This window comes from Homo sapiens, chromosome 2, assembly GCF_000001405.40.
Source record: "Homo sapiens chromosome 2, GRCh38.p14 Primary Assembly".
NCBI lineage: Eukaryota > Metazoa > Chordata > Mammalia > Primates > Hominidae > Homo > Homo sapiens.
Window position 1 is genome coordinate 201,993,216 of NC_000002.12, and position 10,360 is coordinate 202,003,575.

General features: G+C 44.1%; 3 annotated features.

Moving 5' to 3' along the window:
• Window positions 2,945–3,509: an enhancer, noted in NCBI's record as "OCT4-NANOG-H3K27ac-H3K4me1 hESC enhancer chr2:202860883-202861447 (GRCh37/hg19 assembly coordinates)". NCBI's record gives its function as "activates a minimal SCP1, AML or CMV promoter by ChIP-STARR-seq in naive H9 embryonic stem cells {active_cell/tissue: H9 hESC(naive)}" and the evidence as "EXISTENCE:reporter gene assay evidence [ECO:0000049][PMID:30033119]".
• Window positions 5,778–6,281: an enhancer, noted in NCBI's record as "H3K4me1 hESC enhancer chr2:202863716-202864219 (GRCh37/hg19 assembly coordinates)". NCBI's record gives its function as "activates a minimal SCP1, AML or CMV promoter by ChIP-STARR-seq in naive H9 embryonic stem cells {active_cell/tissue: H9 hESC(naive)}" and the evidence as "EXISTENCE:reporter gene assay evidence [ECO:0000049][PMID:30033119]".
• Window positions 6,282–6,784: an enhancer, noted in NCBI's record as "H3K4me1 hESC enhancer chr2:202864220-202864722 (GRCh37/hg19 assembly coordinates)". NCBI's record gives its function as "activates a minimal SCP1, AML or CMV promoter by ChIP-STARR-seq in naive H9 embryonic stem cells {active_cell/tissue: H9 hESC(naive)}" and the evidence as "EXISTENCE:reporter gene assay evidence [ECO:0000049][PMID:30033119]".

Below are 10,360 nucleotides of genomic sequence, written 5' to 3' on the forward strand. Positions count from 1 at the left end.
GCCCAAGAGAGACACCTCACCCCCATCATGTGAGGACATGGCAGGAAGGTGCTGTTCACCAGCCAGAGAGCAGGCCCTCACTAGACACCAAATTGGCCTTGATCTTGGAGTTCCCAGCCTCCAGTACTGTGAGAACTGCATAACGTAGCTTATGCTGTTGTTCATAAGCTACACAGTTTATGATATTTTGTTATAGCAGTCTGAATGGACTAAAACAAGGAGAGAAGTATTTCAAGTAGACATGAAAACCTGATGCTGGCAACAATCATATGTGTGAGAGATGGACAGTCTTCACTCACTCACTCACTCATTCCTTCCCTCCCTCACTTAGTCAATGAATATCAGTCGAACTGTCAGTCCTGGGTCTATGACAGTGGATAAGATACAGACCCTCCATCAGAGAGCTTGAGGCTAGTGGTGTCTGCAACAAGGAGGCTGAAGACTTGTTACAACAGGGAGAATACAGAGCGCAGTGCTGAGGGCCACCTATCTGAGAACTGGGGGAGAGGAGAAAGTGAAACTCTGCTGAGAGCAGGATGAGCCAGGCTGATCTAGGAAAAGTGGGAGAGAGGGGGGTTCTGGATGAGGGAGGAATATGTGCAAACGCTCAAGTAGGTGGGGAAGAGCAGGCCAAATTGGTTGAAGTCTTGAAGGCAGATGGGATAATTTAGATTTGATGAAACCACTGCAGGCCCTACTCAGGGTTGGACTTCATGAAAATGGCGTAGAAGCAAAACTGCTTCACCAGGGAAGGGCAGGATAGTCTTTATAGTCGTTAGGACACTTCCTTGCAACTAGGATATGGGAATTCTCACCTGAGGATATGAAGCCCAAATGGAATGAACCTTGAGGTAGAAAAACAGACAGCTCAGCAGTACACGCAAGAGATGTCAGCAGTCAGAAGGAAGTGGAGAGGAGGGAGTGAAAATGAGAGCTGAAGTGAGTACAGGGGCAAGGAAAGCAATAACAGAAGGTTATTTTAGCAGAAGAGGCAATAACAGAAACCAGAATGCTCTGGGGGAAAAATCCAGGAAGCCGGGTAATACCAAGTGTTGGCAGGGTTAGGGGGACATAGGCACCCTTGTACATGCTGATGGGAGTGTGGGCTGTTGCATCCACTCTGTAAAGATCCCAACTACATTTTCTTTCTTTTCTTTTTTTTTTTTTTTGAGACGGAGTCTTACTTGGTTGCCAGGCTGGAGTGCAGTGGCACGATCTCGGCTCACTGCAACCTCCAACTCCCTGGTTCAAGCGATTCTCCTGCCTCAGCCTCCCAAGTAGCTGGGATTACAGGCGTGCACCACCATACCTGGCTAATTTTTTGTATTTTTAGTAGAGACGGGGTTTCACTGTGTTAGCCAGGATTGTCTCGATCTCCAGACCTCGTGATCCGCCTGCCTTGGCCTCCCAAAGTGCTAGGATTACAGGCGTGAGCCACCATGCCAAGCTGATCTCAACTACATTTCCTAACCTCCAATAATGCAGATTGCATGGGAAATTGGGAGCAATCAGAGCATCCATCTCCGGGTGGGTGAATAAGTAATCGTGGTAAATACACACGATGGAATATGACACAGCAGTTAGAAGCAACAAATTAAATGCATTCATAGCAGCTTGGGAGAATCTTTAAAATTTGGTGCTAAAGCAAAAAAAAAAAAAAAGCAGAAGATAAAATGAGGTATGTAGTAATACTATATATGTGAATTAAAAATACAGCGACCTGCCCAAACTCTCCTTCTCCCTCCAGTACTCTTGATCCCCTTTTCTGGATTATTTTTTCCCACAGCACTTACCAACTTCTAACATACTGATAATTTTTTGTCTTTTTATGTGTATAGATGATTGTGTTGCATCCCCTGTTAGAATACACATTCCAGGGATCCTTGTCAGTTTTCTTCACTAATGTATCCCCGAATGCCTGGCACAAAGCAGGTACTCAACAAATACTTGTTGAATGAATTGATGACCAAGACAGCAATACACATTTTGCAAGACCACACACAAACCAAAAGATCTACTCTCAGGACATGAGAATAGTTGCCTAAGGAATTGAGAAAAGGGAGTGGGGCATGAGGAATAAAAGAAAATGAATAAATAAAGCATAAGAAACAAAACAAAAGGGGTGTAGGAGCAGAAAAGTCAAAATGCAAAGAGGGGAGGTAGCCAAGCAGGGAAGATAGCAGGTGGGCCACCCCCAAGAGCTCAGGTGGGCCAGGAGGAGGGATGAGATGGAGCCTGGAGAGGCCTTGCTGTGCAGGATATCCTGGTCTTCAGCATGTCAGTGGCTTCTTAGTCCCATTCTCTCTGGTTTCCCAGCATCTGACCTGGGTCTACAATCAACCATGCCTGACTTTTCCAAGACATCAGGCCTTGAAAACATAAGCCCGATGACTCTATCAGTCCATGTTCTGGGAGTCCAGAGATTGAAGGATTCCAGGTGAACAGGCCTCCCCAAACCCATCTTAGGAAACATATTAGCTGCAGGAGGCTGCCCCCGGGGACCATGCAAGCCCCAGAGCAGTTTGGCCAATTTTTAGATTTGGAATTCCCAACTAGTTCATATGCATTAGCAGGTTTAAGACAAAACATAGACTATATTCATGCTAAAAGGCATCTTACAAGTCATCAGTTTCCCCACCAGTAGCATGAGAAATACCCAGATCTCCATGGAGATCTCAAGCCTGATCTCCATGGAGATTCAGATTCAAAAGATCTTAAGGGCCCCAGGAATTTGTTTTGTTTTCCTTTTTAACTCCCCAGGTAATTATGGCTCATCCTGGACCAGACCCTTCCTACCCCTCCAACTCCCCAACAACTGGGCAATTGGAATATCAGTCCATCCCTAAAAGCCAACCAGGCTCTCCCGAGGGAGGCAGGAAATCCCTGCTCCCTCCATCCCCCACCGGGAATGCTGCAGGGGGCTTGAGGAGGCGACACAGTGGGGAGCTCTGGGTGCAGGTGGGCAGACAATGGGCCAACACACCCCCTCAGCCCCGCTCCAGTATCAGCATTCCAGGCCCACCCACCTGGGCCCTTGGTCACCGGGAGACCTCACGCGTACACACAGGCTCTAACCTGCCCTGAGCCCAGATCCGGCGTTTCCCAAGCAGCTCTCTCAGCCTGCTGTGAACAAAGGCGATTGTTCTCCCAGGAATGGAGGGAGATGTCTCTCCGTCTTTTCTCTCCTTCTCTTCCCATTCCTCCCATCTCTGTTCCCGTCTTGAAACCTTGGGAGAGAAGGTATTCTAAATATGACTACTCTTGGCTACTTTTTCCTCTCCAACTTGAAAGTCACACGCTGTTGTCTATGGTTATTTGGGCACCTGCAAGCAGTCAGAGGCACATTTTTCCACCTTGGAAGCTGAGGTGCAGGGAAAGGAGGGATTTTTTTTTTTTTTTAAATACACATTTGGAGTTGTTGAACCTTCCTGTGGGAATCCTCCTATTATTTAAAGGATGGATCGTGTCTGTCCCTGCCCCTACCTGATGAAGCAGTAAATCATAACAAGAGAATCTGGCTAAACAAGTTTCCAATTCAAACGTTATCTTGTGGACAAAGAACTCTTTGAATATGGTTGCTGTGTTTGGCTTCTTGTGATGGAGTGGAAAGTTATGTTTTCACTGTTGCTGAATTCTTCTCTCCCTTCAGTGTCCGATGGCCATTCACAGAGAAAGAAGTGTTGAACTGAAAGGGGATGGGGGAGGCCACGTGGCAAGAGAGCAGTGGCCAAGCCATTTCCGGCTAATTAACACATAGATATTGATCATATTTCCTCTGCGAAGCTGCTGCAGATAAGGTGGTCCGTCCCCCTTGGTCACCACATCATCAATAAGCAGACAGCCCCTTTCTAGAAGAGTCCATAATCCAAACATGCTTTGGGTAGGTGATTGATAGAAAGCTACCATTTTAAAAAGATTCCAAGTCTAAACAGAATGTGTCTGGTTACTGGCAAAATTAAATTACCCTCTGCTGGAGGAACTTCCCCTTCTAGTGAAAACAAAGTTATAGTTACAGATAAAATCGAAACTTGGGCATAAATTTTTAGAGGCTTCTAAGAGCAAGCACGTGTGATTGTTAAAATTTATGAGCTTAATTTTATTATATGTTTGTCCCAATTTGATATATTTCATAAGTGAGAAAGTACCGCCCTCCCCCTCAAATTTGGTAGAATTTAAAGGGTCAAAAGTCCAATAGCTTCTTGTTCAAAGCACCCAGAGGCCCAGGTTTTATTTAATTCTTTTCTCTGGGCTGTTCTGGGAAATATCTTTTTCTCCCTAGAAACATGATAACCAGGCTGCCGAGGAAAGAAAGAAAAGATAGAAACTCTTCCTGGGCTATGATGGCCTCTCTTTCTCTGGGAAAGGTTACATGTAACACCCTGCCTCTGTAGACATGTCTCATCAGACATCCTCACTTTTTCTTGCTTATAGAAACAAGGCGAATGTAGTAAAACTGGAAGCAGGCTGTGATGAGACAGTTTTCACAGCAGCCAACAAGAGAGCTGTTCCAAGTTCCAATCGTTTCATTTATTCAACAGATTTTTTTTTTTCATGACAGGGTCTCGCTCTGTCTCCCAGGCTGGAGTGCAGTGGTGCAATCTCAGCTCACTGCAACCTCGACCTCCCGGGCTCAAGCAATCCTTCCACCTCAGCCTCCCAAGTAGCTGGGACCACAGGCATATGCCACCAGGCCAAGCTAATTGTTTTGTATTTTTCGTAGAGATGGGGTTTTGCCATGTTGCCCAGACTGGTCTTGAACTCCTGAGCTCAAGCATTCTGTCCACCTCAGCCTTCCCAAAGTCCTGGGATTACAGGCGTGAGCCACCAGACCAGGCCTTGACGGATCTTCGCTGTGTTTGTGCTCCAGGTCGGCACAGTTCTAGGTTCTAAGAAGAACATAAGCATCTTCAATGACATTCCTATTTGTACAGTACATTTTCATTTACAGTGTGCTTTCACTCACAATAACTCAAATAGATGCCTAGCAAGAAAGAAAATGGTCTCTGGATTTAAAACACTCAGAGAAGCTGGGCATGTTGGCTCATGTCCATAATCCCAGCACTTTGGGAGGCTGAAGCAGATGGATCACTTGAGGCCAGGAGTTCGAGACCAGACTGGCCAACATGGTGAAACCCCGTTTCTACTAAAAATACAAAAATTAGCTGGGTGTGGTGGCTCACACCTGTAATCCCAACTACTCAGAAGACTGAGGCACAAAAATTGCTTGAACCCGGGAGGTGGAGGTTGCAGTGAGCCGAGATTGCACCACTGCACACCAGCCTGGGCAACAGAGCGAGAATAATAATAATAATAAAAACACTCAGAGGCTGGCAAGGGAGGTTGGATTGCAGAGAAGAAACCTCCAGAGAATGGGAGAAGCTCTTGCTTAATCCAGGGCTACTCTCTGAGAGACATATTAAAAGTGCTGGCTGGGCGCGGTAGCTCACACCTGTAATCCCAGCACTTTGGGAGGTCGAGGTGGGCGAATCACCTGAGGTCAGGAGTTCGAGACCAGCCTGCCCAACATGGTGAAACCCCATCTCTACTAAAAATACCAAAAAAAAAAAAATTAGCCATGTGTGGTGGCGGGCGCCTGTAATACCAGCTACTTGGAAGGCTGAGGCAGGAGAATCACTTAAACACAGGAGGCGGAGGTTGCAGTGAGCCGACATCGCGCCACTGCACTCCAGCTTGGGTGACAAGAGCAAAACTCTGTCTCAAAAAAAAAAAAAAGTGCTGCAACTCAGAGAAGAGAGATGAGTAAAACCTGGGCCTCCAGGTGCTTCCAACCAGAAAGTCTAGAATTTCCATTTCTGTGGGCTTGGTTTGTTAAGTGTTCAGCTGGAATGATGTCTTCCTCTGAGACCCAAACCTCAACAATAACACCCCTCTCTTTCCTTTGAAGCCAGTTTCAAACTCTTCCCTAACAGAGAAACTTTATCTCCTACATCCTCTGTACTCTTTGATTCCATCCATGGACACGGGGCCGGCGAGTCCAGCTGGACCCTGCTGCAGCCCTGTTCTGAACCCATGTAATCGACATAGGTTTATGTTTGGGGAAAAATTGCTTTGATTTTGCTTGTGATTAATGCGCTAAGATGTTACATTAGGGAAAGCGACTCTCCCACCCCTGTCTGTGGGCCCCATTAGGCTGGGTGGGTTCTCGGGAATGCAGCTGACTGCATGTGAACACGCACGTACCCAGTGTTTGGCAGGGCTGCAGGATTGCAAGGCACTGGCTCTTCCATCACACTGTCATCGCATAGCAGGAAACACCCTGGGCAGCCCAGCTGCAGTGCTGCTGGCAGCAGAGAGCTGACCAGGGTGGTGAAAGGCACCAGGCCAATCCCTCCTGTCCTCCACAGGCCCCCTGTAATGTCTATGGTAGGTGGGAGGCTCTTCATGGTCACGCAACCACTGACCCACCATTGGGCTGGATAGGATCCTCAGTCTCCATGCTGGGCAGTCTTGCAAGGACTTCAGTGCATCCTGAGTTGTCATCGTCACTATTTACCATAACCACCATTATCAAAGCCACCTACCTGCCCGTTGACATGCTCCAGGACAGTCTACCTGGGCCCCCTTTCAACCAGTGTGCCATTCCCGAAACCCCTCCTATACAGACATTGAGACACCCTGACTGTTGATATGACAGCGGTTTTAAAATTCAATTCCATTCAGAACAAATATAACGAGCCTCTATTATCTTCATTCACTTCACATTTATTGATTTCCTCTGTGCCTAACACTGGGATTACAACAGTGAATTTGCCTGGCTTTCAGCACTTAGTAAAGCAGTGTCCAGGACAGTGCAGTCATTTATTCTCCAGTCCTCCTGAAAAATTCCCAGATGCCCTCTCCCCACTTCTTTGGCTCTCCCACGAAATAGCCATTATCAGTTGGCTAGAGCATTAGCAAAGAGAGTATAAAAGAGTGTGGGTAAATCAGACAGCTATTCAAATTGCAGCTCTACTACTCACGTATTACCAGACATGAAGCTACTTAGTATCTCTGAGCTCAGTTTCCTCATTTGTAAAATGGCAATAATAAACTCTTCATTAAAGGAGCATTGTGAAGATTAACAAACTAAGAACATGTGCAAATTGCCAATGTTGGTGTCTGACACATAGTAGCAGACCCTCTTAAATGGTAGGTACTATTGTTGTGGTGGTTATATACTATTACTACTATTATCATGACTACAGTTGTTATTCACATCTTTGTCCTTTGGTTGGGAGGATAGCCATCAAGTGACAAGTACCTTGGAAAAACCCTTGGCAGATACCTCTCCTAGGAAGTAGCTTATCTAAGTCTCAGGTGGTGGCATAGCACATTGTACCAATTCCAGTTTTTCATTGGAGGTGGCAAAACCTTTGACAAAAGCAAATGTTTATATCTATCTGGAGGAAAAATATAATTGAGGGTTTTTTTTTTAACTTATATGTGATCTCCAGTTAATTCTTTCATCCCTGGGGATCAGTATTCCTAAAACACAAAACAAAACAAAACCAAAGACCCTGGGTTGGATCCTACTCTGACTTACCAGAGGGAGGGAAGTAACACCAACACTTCTTTTTCCTTATTTTTTCTTAAAGTGTTTGGCACATCATGATTTTTTTTTAAAATAATTATCATCATCTAAAAATGCTTTATATGTGAATAATTAGTTTGTTTTTCTTTCTTTTTTTTTTTTTTTTAGTTTGGGGAAGTTGGAGGATTACAAGGGAGAATTACAACTTGACATCTTTCTCTTTTTTTTTTTTTTTTTTTTTTTTTGAGACTGGTTCTCACTCTGTCATTCAGGTTAGAGTATAATCCCAGCTCACTGCAATCTCTACCTTCCAAGCTCAAGTGATCCTCCCACCTCAGCCGCCTGAGCAGCTGGGACTACAGGCGCAAGCAACCACACCTGGCTAATTTTTATACTTTTTTACTTTTTTGTAGAGATGGGTTTCACCATGTTGCCTGTGGCTGGTCTTGAACTCCTGGGCTCAAGCAATCCTTCCACCTTGGCCTCCCAAAGTGCTGGGATTACAGGCGTGAGCCACGATGCTCGGCCTATATCTCATTTCTTCATCCCCTTAGACAAGCAGAAGAAAAATAACTTTCTGAATCCACCCAGGAATCAGCTTATTCAGACCAGATCAATTGTTAATAGCAATAATACAGAAACACTTACACATCAATTTGGCTTTACTTGTACAGAAAGAGCCGGGCATAGTGGCTCACACCTGTAATCCCAGCACTTTGGGATCGCTTGAGGCTAGGAGTTTGAGATCAGCCTGGGCAATATATCAAGAGTCCGTCTCTACAAAAAGAAAAAAAAAATGCACAAATGGAAATTTAATTTTTAAAGATGTCTAGTTTTGTATCATATAGACCAGGAAGATAACATAGACAGATAATTTCTACACATAAAAATATTTCCTTCAGTCAATGTAATAATCATAAAGTGGCTTTCATGACATCCGTTTTCAGATCTTGATATTGGGCCCAATTCACAATTTAAGTACAGTTTTCCTATTTTTATTGCCAACACATTGAGTACAGCTATTTCTCACTGTTTAAATCAGAGGGAGAAATTTCATCTAGAATTATTTATTTTCACTCTTTAATTTTATTCATGTGCCTCTGGAGAATGTATCTTTTGTATGATTCTGTTTCCAAAACCCTAAGGAAAACAGAAGACAAGATGCTATTGGTTTAGGGCCTTTAAAAGGTTATTCGGAGGGGTCTCTCCTGAACTTTTTTTTTTCATAAGTCATATTTCAAGTCTTTGATCTTGACAACCCTGAAATATTACCTTACAATTACATCATAACTATGAAATGACTTTTGTTGGCTAGTGACATGACTTTTTTAAAAGTTTCCACTAAATACACAAATATTACAGTGAAAGGATGTCAGAGTATTCGAAATGATTAGTGATGGTATTAAAATTGCCAGTATTGCTATATATTGTGCCCCTAGGAAATTCAGAATATTTATGATCAGGACTTCAAGTAGTCTAGACTTTTTTTTCCTCCTTTTAAAAGTGATTTTTAGCCTTTTCCACATGCTTTGCCATTACTTAAAGACATTCAAGCCATTGTTATTTTTTCAGTGGGGAAAAATAGCTAACATTCACACAAAAGTCAATAGAGCAACTGAACAAAATAAAATAATCTCAAACATTTATTAATTCAATAAATGTTTACTGCAGAGTCATAATATACATGATACAAATTCAACTGTGTGCCCTTGGCCCTTATTGCCCCCCAAACAGAAAGAGAAAGAAAAAAATAACTATTTCAATAGTGGCTGTTGTAATCACCTATCCACTCGGTGACTGAGGTCCCAGAGCCGGCCAGAGGAGGGACACGGACCCACTGTCAGCTTGGCTAGTTTTACTTTCTTCGTACCTCTCAGAGGTGAGGCTGAATGAGACGCTAGAGTCTGAAAAATAAGTGTTTAGGGTACATCTGGCCTGTAAATAAGTGCCGACTGATTCATCTGGTTCCCAACTAAAACAAAATAGCAATCTGATCCATTGTTGGAGAAAAACCTAGCTGTGTTGAACTTGGTGAAGGATGTTACTATACTTTATAAGCCGTTGAAGGGGTTAGGCATAGTGGCTCACACCTGTAATCCCAGCACTTTGGGAGGCCGAGGCAGACGGATCGCCTGAGGTCAGGAGTTCAAGACCAGCCTGGCCAACATGCTGAAACTCTGTCTCTACTAAAAAAAAATACAAAAATTAGCCAGATGTGGCAGCGGGTACCTATAATTCCAGCTACTTGGAAGTCTGAGGCATGGGAATCGCTTGAACATGGAGGCGAAGGTTGTTGCAGTGAGCTGAGATCTTGCCACTACACTCCAGCTTGGGCGAAAGTGAAACTCTGTCTCAAAAAAAAAAAAAAAAAAAAAAAAAAAAAAAAAAAAAAAAGGCCCCTGAAGGGATTTTCCATGGTTAATCTTGAAAGTTTTATTTGTGCTACCACTCATGGTAGATGCTCAGTACAATGTATCCAGTAAAGTACATCTGCTGTATACAGGCTCTGTGCTGTATACAGGGGAAAATTCCTGACCACTTAGTGGACATTTTGGAGATCTGAAAACAAGATTATCCACACAAACATACATATACATACACATATCTGACTTGAGAATAAGCCACGTTTTTTGTAGAGTGGGCCACTCTTGACGTGTCCTTTTCTCTTTTTTGTTTTGAGACAGTCTCACACTGTCGCCCAGGCTGGAGTGTAGTGGCCGGATCTTGGCTCACTGCAACCTCCACCTCCCAGGTTCAAGCAATTCTCCTGCCTCAGCCTCCCAAGTTGCTGGGACTACAGCCACGTGGCACCATGCCCAGCTAATTGAC